The 20158-nt window shown below is 53.6% G+C and overlaps 1 protein-coding gene across 1 annotated transcript in view, besides 1 other annotated feature; it reads right to left on the bottom strand.

Annotated features, from left to right (window-relative positions):
- Positions 7695-9402: an enhancer, noted in NCBI's record as "VISTA enhancer hs1615". NCBI's record gives its function as "enhancer in: somite[4/7] | forebrain[5/7] | branchial arch[6/7] | nose[6/7] | facial mesenchyme[6/7]" and the evidence as "EXISTENCE:transgenic organism evidence [ECO:0001131][PMID:17130149]".
- The window catches only part of SPSB1 (splA/ryanodine receptor domain and SOCS box containing 1), a 76639-nt gene continuing 67418 nt past the window's right edge, over positions 10938-20158 (bottom strand). The window contains exon 3 of the mRNA NM_025106.4: positions 10938-13022. Coding sequence (NP_079382.2) covers positions 12895-13022 — 128 coding nt within the window. The 3' untranslated portion in view covers positions 10938-12894. The remainder of the gene's footprint in view (positions 13023-20158) is intronic.

The raw sequence follows: 20158 nt of genomic DNA, 5'->3' as shown, positions 1-20158 counted from the left end.
GGGCTCCAAGCAGCCACTGTGGCTACTCCCAGAAAAATGAAAAACCAAAGGGAGCCACCCAGAGAGGCCCGCGTTGTTGTTGTTGTTGTTGTTCTTCTTCTTCTTCTTTTCTTCTTCTTCTTCTTCTTCTTCTTCCCTCCTCCTCCTCCTCCTCCTCTTCCTCCTCTTCCTCCTCTTCCTCCTCTTCCTCCTCCTCCTCCTCCTCCTCCTCCTCCTCTTCCTCTTCCTCTTCTTCTTCTTCTTCTTCTTCCTCTTCTTCTTCTTCTTGTTCTTCGATGTAGTTTTGCCATGTCGCCCAGGCTGGAGTGCAGTGGCGCAATCTCCACTCACGGCAACTTCTGCCTCCCGGGTTCAAGCGATTCGTCTACCTCAGCCTTCCGAGTAGCTGGGATTATAGGCACCCGCCACTATGCCCAGCTAATTTTCGTATTTTAGTAGAGACGGGGTTTCACTATGTTGTTGGCCAGGCTGGTCTCGACTTGCCTTGGTCTCCCAAAATGCTGGGATTACAGGTGTGAGCCAATATGCCTGGCTTCTTCTTTTTAAATTTTATTTATTTATTTATTTTAAAAAGAAAAAGGTTTTAACCTGTCTTGGTCAGCATGCCTCCAAGAACTCCGACTTTCTTTCTTTCTTTCTTTCTTTCTTTCTTTCTTTCTTTCTTTCTTTCTTTCTTTCTTTCTTTCTTTCTTTCTTTCTTTCCTTTCTTTCTTCTTTCTTTCCTTCCTTCCTCCCTTCCTTCCTTCCTTCCTTCCTTCCTTCCTTCCTTCCTTCCTTTCTTTCCTTTTTGAGACAGGGTCTCGCTCTGTTGCTCAGGCTGGAGTGCAATGGCACAATCTTGGTTCACTGCAACCTCCGCCTCCCAGACTCAAGCGATCCTCCTGCCTCAGCCTCCTGAGTAGCTGGGACCACAGGCATGCACCACCGCACCCGGAAAAGTTTTTGTTTTTTGGTAGAGACAGGGTTTCGCCATGGTGCTCAGGCTGACCTCCAACTCCTGAGCTCAAGAGATTCGCATGCCTCGGCCTCCCAAAGTGCTGGGATTACAGGCGTGAGCCACCACGCCCAACTCAGGTTCTTCCTGTGAGCAGCTGGGGCTGGCCTCTCCAGGGAAAACACTTGGGATATAGACTGCTAGTGGGTTTCACAACTGGAGCACCCAGTGGGAATTCAGAGTCAGGGCCCAGACCAGGAGCTGCCTGGAGGCAGAAGAACCTCTGAACTTAAACAGAATAAATGACCCTGGAGATCTGAAGTTCTGGGTTTCAGGCACCTTCAAGGTGCTGCCCATAGGAGGCAGAGAGGCTGTGGGCTTAGATAGTGTGTTATTACTGCTATCATCATCTTAAATGGCACCATGTGCCAGGCCCTGTTCTCAGTACTTTACAAAAAGCCATCCAGCAAGGTCCCCACTTTACAGAGGAACCTAAACAAATCAGCTCACTTTCCTCCCCTGGCAAACTCCTACTCATCCTTCAAAACCTTGCTAGCACATCCCTGTCCTGATTGCCTGGCAAAGTTTATCGCTCCCTCCTCTGCATCACTTGAGACCTCTTCTCCCATGTTTCCTGGTCTGTGCCCCGCGCTGGACTCCTTGCTCAGAAGCCTGGTTTTCCGAGTCTGAATCTTTTATTTTTTACTTATTTATGTTTTATATATATTTTTTGAGACAGAGTCTTGCTCTGTGGCCTAGGCTGGAGTGCAGTGGTGCTATCTCAGCTCACTGCAACCTCCGCCTCCTGGGTTCAAGCGATTCTCCGGCCTCAGCCTCCCAAGTAGCTGGGATCACAGGCACATGCCATCAGGCCTGGCTAATTTTTCTATTTTTAGGATAGACGGGGTTTTGCCATGTTGGTCAGGCTGGTCTTGAACTCCCAGCCTCAGGTGATCTGCCCGCCTCGGCCTCCCAAAATGCTGGGATTATAGGCATGAGCCACCGCGCCCAGCCCTGAGTCTGAATCTTGATGTCCACATGTATCTGGCACAGAAAAAAGGGTCATGATATGTTTGCCAAATGGGACGATGGAGACTGTGGGTCTGCAGCAGCACCTGTATGCCCCACCCTGACAGGACCTCTCAGACTTGGGGGCTAGGCCCCGAAAGGGAAAGGCGCTTGCTGGCTCGTAAGTGGCCAGGACATCCTCAAGGTCTGTCCTCCAAAGCGGTGTCTGGGCTGGGCTTCTGCCTCGGCCTGGGGGCTTCCCTCGGGGGAAACGGCATCCCCAGCTCATCCTTCCAGCAAGCTGGGGGTGGGGTTGCTCAGAAGGGCCCCCAGCGTCCAGGGACGGCTGCAGGAGACCCAGGAGGAGAAGCTGCTGGGCCACAAGGAGGGGTCTCTCCAGAAGGCATAGACGTGCCTCGGGATGCTTATCTTTCCCTCTTTCCCATAAACAAATTTTATTAGATTAAGACCTTGGGGCCGGGTGCGGTGGCTCACACCTGTAATCCCAGCACTTTGGGAGGCCAAGGCAGGCGGATTGCTTGAGGTCAGGAGTTCGAGACCAGCCTAGCCAACATGGCAAAACCCCATCTCTACTAATAATACAAATACTAGCCGGGCGTTGTGGCGGGCACCTGTAATTCCAGCTACTCAGGAGGACGCGGCACGAGAATCACTTGAACCCGGGAGGCAGAGTTTGCAGTGAGCTGAGATTGCGCCACTGCACTCCAGCCTGGGCAACAGAGTGAAATTGTGTCCCCCCAAAAAAACAAAAAAACCCTTGGGCAGTGTGGGCTTTGAAGCCTCCCAAGGCATTGCCCCATACACAGACCTCGTTTGATCTTTACAACGCCACAAGCTTGGCTGGAAGGTGTCATTATTCCCACTTGAAGGCAGGGGAAATTGAGGCTCCCTAGTCCAGGGTCCTGGGACCAGCAGTGGCTGGTGTCCTGAGTCCAAACCCCAGATCACCTGGGCCCTGGCCTGCATTTCTGTGCACTCCTGCAGCCTTCACCCCTGCAGCAGGCCAGCCTGGGAGCTTGCTAAGTTCCACCACCATTTCTGGGCTCTTCGGAGAGGGCGTCCTGCTCATGATCTCCTCTCTTTCTGATTCTCAGAAGGATTCAGAAGCAAAAAAAGGGAGCCGGGGCTGGGGCTGGGTAGTGCAGAAAGAGTTCCTTAGGGCTGCCAAAAACACAGGCTGGAGGGGTCTTCTTTGGCCCCAAAGGGAGGCAGGGTGCACGCCCCCTACACCCCGTCCTGCAGCCACTGGCTCGCTGCTCAGATCGGGGCCCTCTGAGGTGTCTCCTGCGAGGGAGAGCCAAATTCGAGCACATAAGCAGAGGATGTTTTCCTTCCTAGTGGACAAAACATTTCTGGCGCTTTCGGGAGGGGACTGAACACTCTGTCCACTTTGGCGAGTTCGGGATTCCTGGACGGACACAAGTGTGCTTTCACATGCAACAAGATTAATGACACAACCTCCTCCCTCCTGGGCCTTGCCCGCCCCACCTCCCGCCCCACCCCCTTCCCTGGTTACCCGCTTTGCTCCCGAGCAAATCTTCTAAGACGTCCATTCCAAGTGGCCTCAGGAAGTGAACACTGAGTCATGTGCCTCTCGCCACAGGCCTCCCCAGAGTGAGGAGGGGCTGAGAAACACCCTCCAACTCCAAGTGAACCCCTATAGTCTCTCTCGGAGAAATCCCACCGACCCTGACAGGGTGGGTCTGGCCTGGACACAGTGGCCTCCATCCACAGGTTGGTTCCACTGGTGCCTGCCTGGAGCTTCCCTGGTTCACCGGGATTTCCAGAAGATTGGGATACTTCCAGAAGTCCCTAGTTGAACTGGGACTGAGTTCCCAGCCCTGGTCCCCTGTGACCTTCCATGGTCCAATTAAAGAGGCTGGCATCAGCCAAAGTGAAATGAGTGGGAGGGACCGGGATGGAAGAACCTGCCAGTCTGTGCCACACCTCCCAGGCCACGCTCAAGGGGTTGGGGACGGTCCTGCTATGGAGGATCTGCTCCAAGGGGTGCCTCATTGCAAAGCTGTCTGTGAAATTTCTGCCTCTCCCAGAGGGTCCTGTAGGGAGCTCAGACAGAACATTCCAGAGCATTCTTAGGGTGCCTGAAGGATGTACTGAAATCAGGGCCCCATCACCACCTCAGGAAGGTGGGATGCTTCGGAAACCAGGCACCCCCCTCCGCTGCACTCGAGGCAGAATAGGCTCGGGCTGAGCAGGAGGGATCAGGCTGCCGAGCAAAGGCCTGTGGGCCAGTGCCAGGACCCTGAACCCGCCGGGGCAAGCTGAACTCTGGCGGGAGGCAGGCTGCTAACCAGTAAGCAAGTTGTAAAAACCCAATTCAGACACAACATCTGGCAGCTGCTTCAAATAGTTCTCTGTCTGAAGTTGGAGTCGCTCGCAGCCCTCCTGTAAATCAAACCGTGTGCACAGAGGAGACCTGTGCCGATCCGAGGCACCCTGGCTTGGCTGGGCCCCCGCCGAGCCCCCAGTCTCCCTGGCTCTTTAAATAGCCTGGGGTTCACATTCCATTTCCTTGTACGATGAATTCAGAGCAGGCCTGGCCGCAGAAGCTGCAGGGATGCAAGCTTCATCCGTCTGTCTCAGTGAAAGATGGGGGGAGGCGATGCTTGGCACTTGGGGCATGATGTCTTGAGCTCAGCCCCTATTTCCAATGACTCCTGGGCAATGCCCACCCTTCGCAGGGCCCAGGACCCACTCACTGTAGCCTGTCAGAGGAGAGATCAAGAGAGTCCAAGTCCTCTATCCAACAAGTTTCTGGTCTGAGCCTGGTCCTGTGGCTTCTTCTGGCCCTTGGTACTCATCTCTTAGAACATCGACCAATTAATTCTAGAGCAAATCTGGTCTCAGGGGACTGGCTGCAAGAGGCCAGGACAGGAGGCAGATGGCATGTCACGAATAAGGATGGGAGTCATGGCCTGTTGGGCAGCACCCACCATCGGCCTGGTGCTGAGCTCTTTTCTACCTGCTTGGTTTCATCGGTCTTCATGGCCACTCCAGGAGTGGGTACTATTACGCACTCTGCCCTGAAGGTGTGTGTGGAGGGTTGCATGGTGGCTCCCCTAGTCAGTGGCATGGGGGTAAGAAGAATTTACCAAGACAATTGTAGGTAAAGAAAGGCAAATTTATTAGAGAAAATATGGAAATACGTTGCAAGGGTGCAGATCAGCAAGAGAGATGTTGATTGCAATGAGACAAAGGCTTGCTGGGATTTTACAGGATGGTGCTTGTGCCATGTGCTGAAGAGGGCTTTGTGAAGTACTTACATGCCAAGGTTGCAGTGAGCTAACATGTGTTTTCCTATCAGCTGAGGGTCTGGTGATAGTTGGGCACGGGAAGATTGAGAGTTATTTGTGCAGGAGGGCGCTGTGTCCTGGACCATGAAGAAAGGCAGATTTACAGCTTATCTGCTTTCTCATCTTGCTTCCCCTTGGTCCCGCCAGCCTGACTCCTTTTCCCTAATTAGGACTCCACAGGTATGTCTTGTCCTAATCCTGAAAACTGTGAATGTGACCTTATTTGGGGAAAGGGTTTTAGCAGATGTCACTGATTTAAGAATCTTGAGATGAGATCATCCCGGATTATCTGGGTGGGCCCTAAATCCAATGACACGTGTTCTTACAAGACAGACAGAGGCACAGAGGGGAGGAGGCCATGAGAAGATAGAGGCAGAGATTGGAGCCATGCAGCCACAAGCCACAAGCCATGCAGTCAGAAGCTGCGGGAAGCTGGAAGAGGCCAGGATGGATCTTCTTTTTTCTTTTTAAATCACATTTATTGTTATTATTATGATTATTTTGAGACAGAGTCTCACTCTGTTGCCCGGGCTGGAGTGCAGTGGTGCAGTCTCGGCTCACTGAAACCTCTGCCTCCCAGGTTCAAGTGATTCTTGTGCCTTAGCCTCCCGAATGGCTGGGATTACAGGCGCACGCCACCACACCTGGCTATTTTTTTGTATTTTTAGCTAAGTTTTTGTATTTTTAACAGAGACGAGGCTTCGCCATGTTGGCCAGGTTGGTCTCGAGCTCCCAGCCTCAAGTGATCCACCCAACTCGGCCTCCCAAAGTGCTGGGATTACAGGTGTGAGCCACTGCGCCTGGCCATAGGCCAGATCTTTTTCTAGAACTTCTGGAGGGAGTGCAGCCCTGCCCACGCCTTGATTTTGGACTTCCAGCCTCCACAGCTGGGACAGAATAAACGTGCATTGTTTTAAGTCACCCAGTGTGTGGTACTTGGTTATAGCAGCCCCAGGAAACAAATATAATTTTGAAACTAGGGATCAGAGGAGCTGCACGAGGCCACAGAGCTCTTAACCACCCAACTCTCTGTTAGCCCTGGTGACCAGACTGATTTTTAGAAAACTGGATCTGATAAACTGAGGCCCCTGGGCTCAGGCAATTTCCCTGCAAGTTGCCCTCTAGGAAAGGGTCATTCATGGACTAGGTGACTTCGGTGAGTTTAGGAGCATAAACAAGGGTCTCTGGGTGCCCTGGGGGGTGGAGGAGTAATTATACTAGCTATGTTTATTGATTGCTTCCTGCGACCAGACCAGCGACCAGCTTCTAAGCACTTTACAGACATGGCTCACTTAATTCTCACAATAACCCTAAGAAGAGGAAATGTTCTCCCATATGATGAAATAAGGAAACAAAGACACAGGGAAGTCATGGGGGAGGGGCCAGGGAGTAGCTCCTTAAAAAGCCAATTGGAAATGAAAGACGCCAGACACAGAGGGTCACCTATTGTTTGAGACCATTGATAAGAAATGTCCAGAATAGGCAAATCGAGACAGAAAGTAGATTAGTGGTTGCCAGGGGCTGGGGGAGGGGAATGGGTAGTGGCTGCCTAATGGGTGTGAGGTCCCCATTGGGGGTGATGATAATGTTTTGAACTAGACAGAAGTGACAGGTGTACAATATTGCGAATGTACTACACGCCACACTGATGTGCATACTTTAGAACAGTGAATTTGATGTTATGTGAATTTCACCTTAATTACAAATAAAAGGGTGAGATAGGAGTACCCTGGGCTCAGGCCCTGATGTGCCCAGCCCTAAGCATGTGGGTCTCAGTGGCCCCGCTGGGAGGCAAGTGCTGTTCCCATTTCACAGATGGAGACGCCAAGGCTCCAGGCTTTAAAGCTACCATCCTGGACAGGAAGTGGGAAGCCAGGCGTCAGTCCTGAAGCCAGGCCCCTTCTCCCCAGTCACTCAGCCTCCACACATGGCCAGCCTGGAAGGTGAGGTTCCTTTTCCACTGGAGTTGATTCCACCTGTGGACATCAGAAACCCTGGCGGCCCCACTTTGCTGAACAGAAATCACTGGCAAAGCTGAACATCTTTCGAAAGGTAGGGCCCAGGGATGTAGGTGGGAGAGGGATTAAAATGTTTGCTTCTTAGGCTGTAAAGAGAGAGGAAGACATGCTCTGAGAGGCACAGTCCTGGGTTGATGAGGCCCTTGTCCCTACATGCTGTGCTGAGGTTGTGGGAAATACCCATGAGCAGCTCCCATGGGGATAGCCCTGCTGGAAGGGTCTTGCATGGGCCGTGGCTTGTAGACCCGAATGTTGTCTCCAAGCTCCTGGTTCAGCTTTCCAGGGTCTAATTTCCTTAGGGAAACTGAGGCTGAAGGATAGCCCTCAAGGTTTCCCTGCCTGGACTCCAGTATTTCTCCCTTGGACCGACTTTGTTCATTCCTAAGATGAGCACTTTTGTGCCTGGGTGAGAAGTTTTTGTGCCTGGCGTTGATGCCTTGATCGGCAGCTCGGGGACTGCCTGTGCTCTGAGACACAGAGCAGAGAGAGCTGGGAGGGCCACGCGAACAGAATCTTCTATACCCGTGGTCTCCAAGCTTCTGTGGGTCTCAGCCCCTGGCAGGGCTCTGAAGGACCATGGGGATACAGCAGAGAGGTCTGCATAGGTGCAGCTCTGCATGTAACTGCATGCAACTCTGCATGGACGCAACTCTGCATGTAACGCTGGGACCCCAGCAACCTTCAGGACAATGTTATCTGCGTCATCTATGGGTGTTCGAAGATGCCTATTCGCAGGCCCATCCTATTGCATATCAAGCTTACCAGGATTTTGCTTTCCTCCCCTAGGTTCCTCCGGGCGATTCAGATGCAGGGAGCATCTGTGAACTTCAGGGTGAAATCCCCGATTCGGTCCTGGTACTCACATGCACTTGTAAGACACATCTTTGGGGACAGCTGTAAGGTTCACCCCCAAACGCCACCAGGGAAGGGAGCTGGAGGAGACCTTTGCCTTTCCTGCCTATAAAGCAGACCCAGTAGAGGCTGCAATTGGGGTGGGGCAGGAAGACAAACCCTGCACAAGGTCAGTGCCACCTCTGTCTAGCTAGCTGCCCTCAGCCTGAGCTTTTCCACGGAGAATATTCCTCTACCCAGGAAAATCATTATCAGCCCGGCAGCAACAGCAGCAGCTGTTCTCTGGCCCAGGAAGAAAGGTTCCAGAGAAGAGTTAGTTTTCTCTTTTCTTACCAAAAAAAAAAAAAAAAATCAGAACCCAGGAGAGAACACCACGGTCTGAGTGCACCAGGGAGATGGTCGGCCCGAGTCCTGCCTGCCAGCAGCTGAGTCTCAAGAAACCCGAGGAGAGCCATGAGCGGCTTCCTCTGCATTTGCTGGGCCAGGACATCATTTGTTGACTCTAGAGCCCAGTCCCTAGCTCACGATTTCCTCCCTGGTTGCCATGGCCCCATACAGAAAACACAGCAAACTCCTGGCCCTGGGCAGCTCATTTATTTCAAATATTCCTTGCAGCTGGAATCCAACCATGTTTGGGTGTCTGGACTGGAGCATGAACTAATTGCTCTGTCTTCGGCCCCCTCCCCAGCTCCCCCGGCATAGTTTATGGTTCAGTAAATTCCACATTCCTCATCTCGTCGAGGAGCGGAGAAGGCGGGAGGGAAGCTTCGTGCTGAAGGGTGGGGACGGGAGGACTCTTCCCATCTATGGCCAAGCCCTGAGAGTCTGCTACCTGCTTGAAGGCAGGGGATTAATTACAACCACATGGGCCAAGTCTGCACAGATGGTTTTATTAATCCCACTCCCTTCGGCACAAAACCCTACTCCCCGAGAAGTCTCCTGGCAGCACAAGGGCCCTGATTTTTCCCTGTGCCTCCCCCCGCCCCCAGCGCCTGACCCCAACCCCACTCCTCCCCTGCTGCCCCCTTCAAAGGAAGCGGAGTTCCAACTGCAACCCAGACATGAACTCCAACCTGAAAATCATTTTACACCACCCCTTTCATCCAACCGCATCTGGGAAAGGCATCTAGGGGACCCTCTTCCCAATACCCACCTTGACCTTTGGAGACTTTACCTGGGAAGGAAGATCATTATCAGGAAGTTGGTTTAGGAATGTCTGGTCCATTCTTTTTTTGGAGGGGACAGAGTCTCGCTCTGTAGCCCAGGCTGGAGTGCAGTGGTGCGATCTCGGCTCACTGCAGCCTCCGCCTCTCAGGTTCATGCCATTCTCCTGCCTTAGCCTCCTGAGCAGCTGGGACTACAGGCACGCACCACCATGCCCAGCTAATTTTTGTATTTTTAGTAGAGATGGGGTTTCACCATGTTGGCCAGGATGGTCTCGATCTCTTGACCTTGTGATCCGCCCGCCTCGGCCTCCCAAAGTGCTGGGATTACAGGCGTGAGCCACCGCGCCCGAGCATCTGGTCCATTCTTAGAGACAAAGTCGCAACCCAGAAACTGCCATTTTCCAGAAATGCAGGAGCTTTTAAAGCATTTGTTTGCACACTCGCTAAGACTCCAGGTCCTGTTCGGAAAGCCTCATCTTACCCTTGCTATCCTCCTGTGAGATAGGTACTACACTACAGTGACTGCTGTTTTCCGGAGGCTCGTCCAAGGCCACAAAGCCAGTATTTGAATCCAGGTCTGACTCAGGAGCGCATGCGCTCCTCATTGGGCCAACCCACCGACACCATGGAATAATTTCCCTCTACCCAGCAACTTTGCAAAACAGCTGACACTGTCACAAATAGTGGTGTGCAAACTCTCTTAGGCAAGGTCACCTAGGGAGTTGAGGAAATGCATATTCCTGGGCCTGGCCCTAGAAGTGTTGACTTGGTACATCTCAGGTGGGGCCCTGGAATCTGCATTTTCACAACCCCCCTCCCAGATGCTGCTGATGTGTGTGGTCTGAGGATAGCTGGTCAGGAGGCTCTTAGAGAAAGGAACATGGGTCTTTGGGCCCAGGGATCTTGGGCCCTCAGGCCAGGCACTTTTCACGGCACTATCAGGTCCCAACACGCCTTCAGAATGAAGCGTCCCCACCGCAAGCTTAATGTGCTCTTGCTAATTCTTTGGAAACTAGCCGTGACACGTGATCACATCTTAGTAAATTTCTTGACTGTCATTTTATCACCCATTGATCCCCTAAATAAGCCAGAGTTTCCTGTCCTTTCTGTCGGGGGCTCTGCCCACATGGCTAGCAGAACAAGTTCACTCTGCAACAGTTCAGCAAACATCACCGTGCACTCAGCCCCAGGGGACACAAAGACGAATGAAGGACCTGCTCCTTCCCCTAGAGCCTGGACTCTGAGGACGCCCACAATGGCTCACACTCTGCTCCTAAAAAGCCCACGGTCAACTCAAGTTCTACAACCCCACAAACCAACCTGATGCGCTCACGAAGGCACAGAATCACTGTCTGTTAGACTTGGCAAGTTTCTGCAGCTTGGGCTGCCAGGCTGAGGAACTTCTGAAATGGGGATGAGGCTGTTCTGGGGTCCTCCCTCCAGGACTCTCCTTCTCCTTCTCTGTCTGGGGCTTTGCCTGGCATCCCACCCTCTGCCAAGGGGTGGTAGGGAGTCAGCCCATCATCTGCTGAAAACTGTGGGCCGTGGAGCTGGCTGGACCCAGGAGGGGTCAGCTATGTCTCTTTCCCCTCCCCCGAGGCACAAACGAGGAATTCAAAAATGGTTTGATATTTTAACAAACGTTCCTTTATTAGGTTACTGACTATTATCAACCATCATAAAATAGAACGGGAGTTTCAAAACTGTACAAGCCACAAGGCTCTGGGCTGGTAGGAAAGAAGGGTGGGGTCGAGGGTCCCAGGGTGTCGGGGGGTGGGAGATGCAGAGAGAGCTAGAGGGTCACCCGGCATCTGTGAGGACGGCTGGGTCAAGGCCATAAGCTGGGATCTGTACAAGGGAAACATTCATCAGAATGTGACCCACCTGAAACAGGAGGGAGGAAAATCTTTAAAAGTCTTACAGGTAAGGTCCCCTGCCCCGAAAAAAAAAACCGTCAAAATAATAAGGGGGTAATGTACATTTCTCACCCAGTCTTGGCACCAATTTTGTGCTTTAAAAAATATACTCCACTGTAAGATTTACTTAAAAAAAGGTACTCTACAGCAGCTGTTTAAAACATAATTCTTACAGACAAATATATATATATGTATGTATATATATTAAACATTTTAAACAAATAAAGTCATCTATTGTACCTGTGCAGAAATGAACCAAAGTTAGACTCTAAGAGAGTTAACTTCAAGCTCAAAGAAATGGCAAAGGCGGTGGCAGGTGCTGGGGTACGCTACGTGGAGGGGTTGCCAGGGATAGGGCACCCCTCTCTTCCGGCAGCCGAGCTACCCCTCTTGAGGCTCTGAGAGGGGTTGGGATGAACTGGGGCTGTTACCCTGGGTCCAGAGCCCCGGCTGGGGTGCTGAGCAGAGACCCGCGCTGGCTTCTGTGAGGCTCGACTCTGCTCCTGGTCTTCCCCATCCCACCCTGCCCCCGGCTTCTCGGGGAATGGAGACCCACTCGCCCTCCCTTCTTAGTTCTGGGGGTCCTCTGGCACACCCAGAGCTTCTGAGGATGCACTTGGGAAATCTCAGCTAGAAAAGCAAAAGCAAAATCAAACCCACATCAAAAGACCCACAGAAGACTAAAGAAATGCAACCCTGTGCAAGGGTGCCTGAGCCCAAGAGTTAGCTGGTTACCTGGAGACACAGGGGAATTGCTGCAGCCCTTCCAGACGGGCCCCCGAAGACACCCAGATTGCACGTGAGGCTATTTCTCCCTGAGGGGCCCGCTAGGGAACTTGGAGCAGAGCCCCCTGGAAACTGCAGGGCAAGGGACCCAGAGACATACTTGTGCCTGGGCACGTGTGCACATGTGCCCAGGGAGGGCGGGCGAGGCATACATATCCCAGGGAGGGCACAGGTGGAAGGAAAGTAACAGAACAGCCAGAGAGAGGGGACTGAAACAGGGTTTCCTTTCTAGATGGAATAAATAAATGGCTTTTGTTATTGTTAAAAGAATAAATACAGGGTACGGGGCACCGGCAGCCAGGATGGGTGCTGGGTGCTTATTTGCCTGCAGACAGTTCTTGGTTTCTGCCTTGGGGTCCATGGTGAGTTTTTGACGTCCTGAGCTTTATCTGCCATGGCATGGCCCCGCTGGGCACCCTGGGCCGGGCACCAGCCCTTGTCTAAGCACCTCTTAGTACCCCTGGTATCTGCTCTCAGAGCTGTGGTACCACCTGCCACCCCCACCACCCTGGGACCCCCAGGTGGCTGCAGCCTTCTCCCAGAGGTGTGGGAAGCACCCGTCCCACCCCGAGCAGATTGGAGCTCAATGTAGGGCTTTCGTAGGAGTTTATTCTCTGTGTCTTTTTTCAAAGAGGGGTTGTATACGGACGGCATGCAGGGATGCTGCCTTCTGCTGATGTCGGGAAGGGGGAAAGAGGAGCCTGTGTTGGAATCGGTCCTTGTCCCATGGAGGCAGCCACGGAGGATGAGGGAAGACCAGGGACCTCTGTCCATGGCTACGGATGCCGGTCCAAGGTGCAGGGTGCGGCGGCCCCAGCGGCAGGCGGCTCAGTGAGTTGGCACCAGGTGGCTGTCGCGCTGGCGGTATGATGGCGAACGTCACTGGTAGAGGAGGTAGGCCTTGAGGGAAGCCGGCAGCGGCAGCGTGTGGATCTCCCCCAGGCGCTCCCTCCCCAGGGCCAGGCGCACCGAGCGACGGCACAAATCCATGAGCGGCAGCGGCTCGGCTGGGGAGACAGAGAAACTGCAGGTCAGCGCAGCTTGGGTGGGTGTTCAGCAAACAGCGCTAACCACAGCAGCAATATTATCACTGATTAGTATTCACTCAAATCAGTAAAGAAACAATGAAAAATGCAATGCTTTTTCATTTTAAATTTAGCATGTGAATAGCTGCCACCAGGAGCCCACCCTGGGCTGGGCACCTGGGCGAGCCCTCTGCTAACACTCATTTAATCCTCACAGTGGTTTCTTATGAATGACTTAATAGTCACAGAGACACCATTACCTTCATCCCCATTTTACAGATGAGGAAACTGAGGGACAGAGTCTAAATGACTTGCCAGGGGTCGCCCTGCTGGCAGGAGATGCAGCTAGGATTCGAACCCAGGCGATCCCTGCTCTTCCCCACTGGTGACTCTGCCTGTCCAGGCAAGCAGCTGCCATTGGGGCCTGTCGGTCGGAACACATGGGAGCCAGCTCTTCCTGGCACGCACCCCCAGCACTAGCTTCAGGAAGGGAATCATTTTCTGTTACCAGCTGCTCTCAGATACCATTCTCACCTCTGTTTTAAAGCTGAAGACTAGCTGGGCATGGTGGTTCACGCTGGTAATCCCAGCATTTTGGGAGGCCAAGGTGGGTGGATCATTTGAGGCCAGGAGTTCAAGACCAGCCTGGCCAACATGGTGAAACCCCGTCTCTACTAAAAATACAAAAATTAGTTGGGCGTGGTGGTGTGTGCCTGTAATCCCAGCTACTCAGGAGTCTGAGGCAGGAGAATCGCTTGAACCTGGGAGATGGAGGTTGCAGTGGGCTGAGATCACGCCACTGCACTCTAGCTGGGCGACAGAGCAAGACTCGGTCCAAAAAAAAAAAAAAAAGAACTGAGGACACACAGGCACAGAGGGGACACCCAGTGTGCCAAGGTTCAGGGCTGGGATCTGAATCCAGGCAGCCTGGGCCCAGCGTCCATGCCCTTAGCCACTAACCATGCTGCAAAGGAAGACATGGCAAACCCTGTCCTGAATCATACGTGACAGGCCTGGCTGGCCCCACGGCCTGAAGGTGTCATTTCTGTGCCACATGGAGACAGAGAAACCCCGGGTGTCTGTGCTTCTGTCTGACAGTGAGGCTGAGGGCCCAGGCCAAGCTCAGGCCCCAGGAAACTGGAAATGCCAGCCCAGTTTCAGCTGATCCCCCAGAGCTGCCTGGGCCTTCTCCCCGCAACTGCCCCAGGCACATGGGGCTCTCTCACAGCCAGGGGAACTTGGGCAGAGCTGCCTCAGGCCCCAGGGTTACAGAGCGCTTCCAGCTGCAGCCTCCCAGGCACCTCCATCCTGTGTTCCCAGAGCGCCCAGCCTTGCCTTCCTACAAAGGAGGCTGAGTTCATTCAGCTGCATCTCAGATGAGCCGTCAGCTTCAGATCTCAGGAGTCTGAAACTCATGCCTTCCAAGGCTTCTGAGCGTTGGAAGGCTGCGCGGCCCTGCTCGCCCGCTTCGCCAGAGCAGACCCCTCTTTGCTCTCTTTCCTGAAACCAGGTAGGAGTGAGCACACCTGGACCTTCGTGGGGCCGCCCACGCTGTTCTGCAGATGGAAAGCCCTGAAACTAATGGATCTGAGGCTTCATCCACGGTCTCCCCTTGACTTTGAGACTCCTTTGTGAGCAAAATAGCCCCCAAAACTAAAAGGAACCCGCAAAACTCCATCCTACCAGTAAAAAGTGGATTAAAGTTCTTTAATATTCACCAATGTGTCTCAAATATACGAAAATCAATTACTGAAGACCAAACACTACGGGTGGGGCATGGCAGAATGGAGAGAGGCTGCTTATGGGTATAGGGTTTCTTTTTGGGGTGATGAAAATGTTCTAAAATTGTTTCCTACATCTCACCACGCAAGAGGCCACTGAATTGGATACTTTAATGGGTGAATTGTAAGGTATGTGAATTATAGCTCAGTAAAGCTGTTACAAAATAGAAGAATGGACCTTAGGCTTGATAATGCATTTACTAAACCCCAAGCTTTAAAAGAAGAGGGACCAGGTCAGGCACAGTGGCTCATACCTGTAATCCCAGCACTTTGGGAGGCCAAGGACAGAAGACTGCTTGAGCCCAGGAGTTTGAGACCAGCCTGAGCAACATAGGGAGACCTCATCGCTACAAAAAATAAAAATCAGCCAGGACTTGGGAGACTGAGGCGAGAGGATCGGTTGGGCCCAGGAGGTCAAGGCTGCAGTAAGCTGTGATTGTGCCACTGTATTCCAGCCTGCGTAACAGAGACCTTGTCTCAAAAATGAAAACAGGCCAGGTGTGGTGGCTCACGCCTGTAATCCCAGCACTTCGGGAGGCCGAGGCCGGCGCATTACCTGAGGGCAGGAGTTCAAGACCAGCCTGGCCAACATGGTGAACCCTCATCTCTACTAAAATTAGTATACAAAAATGAGCCAGGCATGGTGGCATGGGCCTGTAGTCCCGGCTACTCGGGAGGCTAAGGCAGGAGAATCACTTGAACCTGGGAGGTGGAGGTTGCAGTGACCCGAGATCACACCATCGCACTCCAGCCTGGGGTGACGGAGCAAGACTCTGTCTCAGAAAAACCAACAACAACAACGACAACAACAACAACAAAACAACAACAAAAAAACCCCAAAACTGAAAAAATAAATAAACAAAAGAAGAGGGACCACTGCTCTTCATCCCCCATGGACGGTCACAGCCACAGCTCCTGACAAGGAACTGAAATGTTCTGTATTTTTAATGGAGAATTTTGAAAGGGGGCCTTTCGTGGCCAGCTTAGGATGATTAAGAGGAGCTCTGATTGGAGACGAATGGAGGAATGAAATAACCTTGGGTTCTTTAAGGTCAAGGATCCCACAGACCCCTCGTGATGGGGTGGGACTGGGTTCCACCCACCCGGCTCCTCACAGGGTTGGGTTTCCCTCGGGTAAAACACCCAGCCTGGTGACTCCAGACCCTGCCCCGCAGCCTGACCTGGAGCACATCCCTCCGTCTGCCCGGACTTGTTTCCCCATCTGTAAGACACGGAATCCAGACCAGATTCTCCCCAAAGTCCCATGCAGCCAAGATCCTGAAGGCCAGAAGTGCTTATCGCAGCCTGTGGTCTGGCCTGGCTGTCGGGAGTAGGTCTTCTGCACAGAGGAGTGGGGAATTTGCAGGTGTGTTCTCTTCTCTGCTTGGGAGCGCGCCTGCATCTGGCCTGCATCAGGGCCAAGGGGTCTGGGCTGCCCTGAGCTCCCTCCCGGGAGAATGTGGCTCAGCCCCCGCCGGAAAGTGGAGGGGCTCTCCCTCGTGGCTGGAAAGCACCTGAGAAAGCTCCAAGAGCCACTGAATGTGGCCCAAGAGCCCTGCCAGGCTGCAGCAGTGAGGGCTGAGAGGGAGTTCAGTCACTACCCTCTTGGTGTAACGGGTTTCCAATCAACCCATGAAGAAATGTTTCTAGGCTGGACGCGGTGGCTTATGCCTGTAATCCCAGCACTTTGGGAGGCCGAGGTGGGTGATCACCTGAGGTCAGGAGTTTGAGACCAGCCTGGCCAGTGTGGCAAAACCTCATCTCTATTAAAAATACAAAAATTAGCTGGGTGTGGTCGTGCATGCCTGTAGTCCCAGCTACTTGGGAGTTTGAGGCAGGAGGATTGCTTGAACCTGGGAGGCAGAGGTTTGCAGTGAGCTGAGATTGCGCCACTGCACTACAGCCTGGGTGACAGAATGAGACTCCATCTCCAAAAAAAAAAAAATTTTCTAAAACTGCAGAGGCCCACATGAGCCCCCAGCTCCATCCAGTGCCTTATTTTGAGTGGCTGACACCGCAGCCCCAGCCCCAGCCATGGCCTGTGGGGCACCAGTCGTGTGCCTGATGGGGACTGTGACCCCAACCTACAGATAGGGAAATGGGCTTGGGGAGGTGAGAGTTACAGGTCCAAGGTCTGAGAGCCATGGACTCCAAAGGGATGAGGCCCTCCAGCTGCCACAATCCATCCCCTGTGAACGCAGCTGTGTGGGGTAGAGGACTTGCCACAGCCTGGCCATCTCTGGATCTCACTGAATAAACCAGTTAGGGATGGGTCATGGGATCCACCAAGACGGGCTAGAGAAGTGGCAGTGAATGGCTGCAGTGATGTGTTATGAGCTGAAAATAGGACCAGAGTCACCCAGGCATCCTGTGAATGGGTCTCTTCTCTGGGTCCTCAAGTACATAAACAGGTCACGCCTCCTTGATCTTGCAGGAGGAAACTGATGGCGCATAGGGCCCGGTCTAACTGCTTTCCAAAGGCTGGGCAGAGACCAAGAATGCATGGCCACAGAAACAGACGTGGGCTTCGTGCCGTGAAAAAATGCCCAGCCCCCATTTCAGCTGGTCACTACCAGTACCAGGGAGTTCTCCCCAACCTCCACACTCTTGACTGGGGGCTGCCAGCTTTGCACCCAGCTCCAGCCACAAACCCAGGTGCCTGCTGAAATCTACCGAGGGGGTGGGCACCTGCACTGTGGCCTGGGGCCTCTGGCTGCTATGCCCATCCCCAGGAAGCTTAGGCGCTCATTCATTTAAATAATTTCTGTGAATGAGAGTGCAATGCTGAATGAGCAGCAAAGAAATCAGGAAGTCAATCAGGCGCTATTTCTGGGAGCAGAAGCCTGAGGAACTGGAAGAGACAGTGCACCAGCTTCCACATTTCTGTGAGAAACGGCTACCTGGTGGCCCACGTGAACATGCACAGCCCCAGAGCCCCAACCCACAACTGTCTCACTGTTCCCCGAGAGATTTCAACCCAACTCAAGCCTCAAGAGTGTGGTGCTGTGCCCAGTTCACGGGCTGAGTGAACGAGCTGCAGAACGGTGAGGTCAAGGAAAAATGTTCCGCATCAGAGAATGCCCCGGCTTCCGCAATGTCCTCGCTGACAGCTGTCATGGCTCCTGTGGCTGGCCCTGCAAGCAGCTTGTGGGGACCACGCTCCAGGACATGGATTCTAGAATGTCACGGGTCGGGTGGCCATCATAGGATGTGTGTGTGTTTTCCTCTACACTACGCAGTTCTTACGAAAGAGCACAGCCAAACACAACGTGGAGCCTTTGTCCTTGTCAACTGGGGAAGGACGCCTGAGATCCACCTAGGTGATCAGACACCCTTGGTCCCCTATCCCCCCCAAACTCTGAGAGCCTGCGGTCCTCATATGACCAGAACTTCTGGAGGGTGTGGGGAATAGGGTCTGGGACAACCCCTCCCCGACATGGAAGGAAGGAAGGAAGGGAGGGAGGGAGGGTGGGTGGCCCTGGTGGCGGTGTATCAGTCTCCCGATGAGTAGCTCCCGGCAGAGTCCAGCTGGAGTGGAGTGCAGGAAGGAGGCACCCGGGAGGAGGCTCTGATCTTGAGGAGACGAGCTGACCTTCCCTGAACCTTCAACCACGACAAACCACACCAAACCCATCTGGGAGCCGTTAAAGAAAATTCGAAAATGCTGAACTGCATGGAAGATGCCTCCTCAGTGGGAGATGTCTTTAAAGCAGTGGGGGTAGAGCCAGAGGACCCACAAGGTCAGGGGCTCCCCCTGGACAGCCTGCCAGCCTGCTGCTTGCAAACAGGCCTTTCCACATCTCCAGGGAGGGTGGCGGGCAGGCCCGGGGTCAGGCCAGGCCCTGTGTCTCCCCACTCAGCAATGGCCATCTCCACTCCTGCCCTCCAGGAGAGAGAGGGAGAGTGACACAGCAGCCTCTCTGGCTGCATCCTCAGCACAAGGCCTTGTGCCTCGAGCCTTGAGGAGGAATCAGAGCACGGGGCCTGTGGCCCCAGCAGGCTGGACAGTGGGGAGGCCGCACAGGGAAACGTCGAGAACTCAGTACCCCTACTTCCGCCCGGCCACGGCCCCAGTGTAGAAGCCGGGACTCTGCTGCGGGGGGGTTCTGCCTGGCATGCAGGAAAGAGGCCACAGGGGACAGTGGGCTGGGAGACCCCCGGGAAGGCACACACGCAGGCAAACTGCTGGAGCTGCCCTACAAACAGCTGCCCCTCGTGGAAGTCGAATCCAGGGGTGGTGGGGACACTGATGATTCTCCAGATATCCCAGGGAGTGGAACTACCTCCACCTCCAAGACAGAGACAGCAAAGCCCCAGATCAGGTCTGCCACCAAGAAAACAGATCCGGCTGGGCATGGTGGCTCACGCCTGTAATCCTAGCACTTTGGAAGACCGAGGCAGGAGGACCACTTAGGAGCCCAGGAGTTTGAGACCAGCCTAGGCAACATAGTGAGACCCCATCTCTAAAAAAAAAAAAAAAAAAAAAAAAAAAGAAAATGACAGATCCAGCCATGCCTGGCCAGAGCCTCCATCTGTCATGCTCTGCTCCCGGGCAGACCCTGGGATTCGATCTCACCAGGACACCCCCCTTCTTTAGTTGTATTGGAAGGCAAAGCCAACTCTCCCGGGACGGGGGACTTGGGTGGGCTCTGACCTCACTATGGGCACCCCAGCATCGGTAGGGGTGACGTGAGAGGATGGAGCTCCGGGCTCATCTTTCACCCCCCACAGGTGGCAGCACAGGGAGAGGAAGGCCTCATGGAGATGGTCTACACTGGCTGCCTCCACATCTGAAGCGGGTTGACCAGTGTCCTCCAATTCATGTTTGCCCAGAACTTCAGAGTGGAGCCTTATCTGGAAACAGGGCCTTGCGGATGTACTTCATTATGACGAGGGCATAGTGGATTGGGGTGGGCCCTGAATCCAATGGCTGGTGTCCCTCTAAGAAGAGGAGGGGCCACGGAGAGACACATACACAGGTGGAGCACCCTGGGGAAACAGAGGCTGGGACTCAGGGAGGCATCTACAGACCAAGGGACGCCAAGGATTCCCGGCAGCCCCCAGGGGCGAGGGGAGGCATGGGGCGGGCTCCCCCTCAGAGCTCGGAGGCAGTCGAGCCCGCTACCATCCTGATCGCAGACACCTGGCCTCCTGAGCGCTTCTGCTGTTTTCAGCTGTCCTGCTTGTGGTAATGTGTTCAGCAGCTCCAGGAGACGAATACCCTGTCTGTCTTCCTCCAGCCACTCCATCAGGCTCCTCCCGTGCCCCCTGACCCAAGTGACTCTCCTCAAGGTCAACTGCCAATTCCTTGTTGCCAAAGCTGATGGACGGTTCTCA

Source organism: Homo sapiens, chromosome 1 (assembly GCF_000001405.40).
Source record: "Homo sapiens chromosome 1, GRCh38.p14 Primary Assembly".
Taxonomy (NCBI): Eukaryota; Metazoa; Chordata; class Mammalia; order Primates; family Hominidae; genus Homo; species Homo sapiens.
The sequence above is the reverse complement of the archived record's forward strand: the minus strand, read 5'-3'. Positions and strand labels throughout refer to the sequence as shown.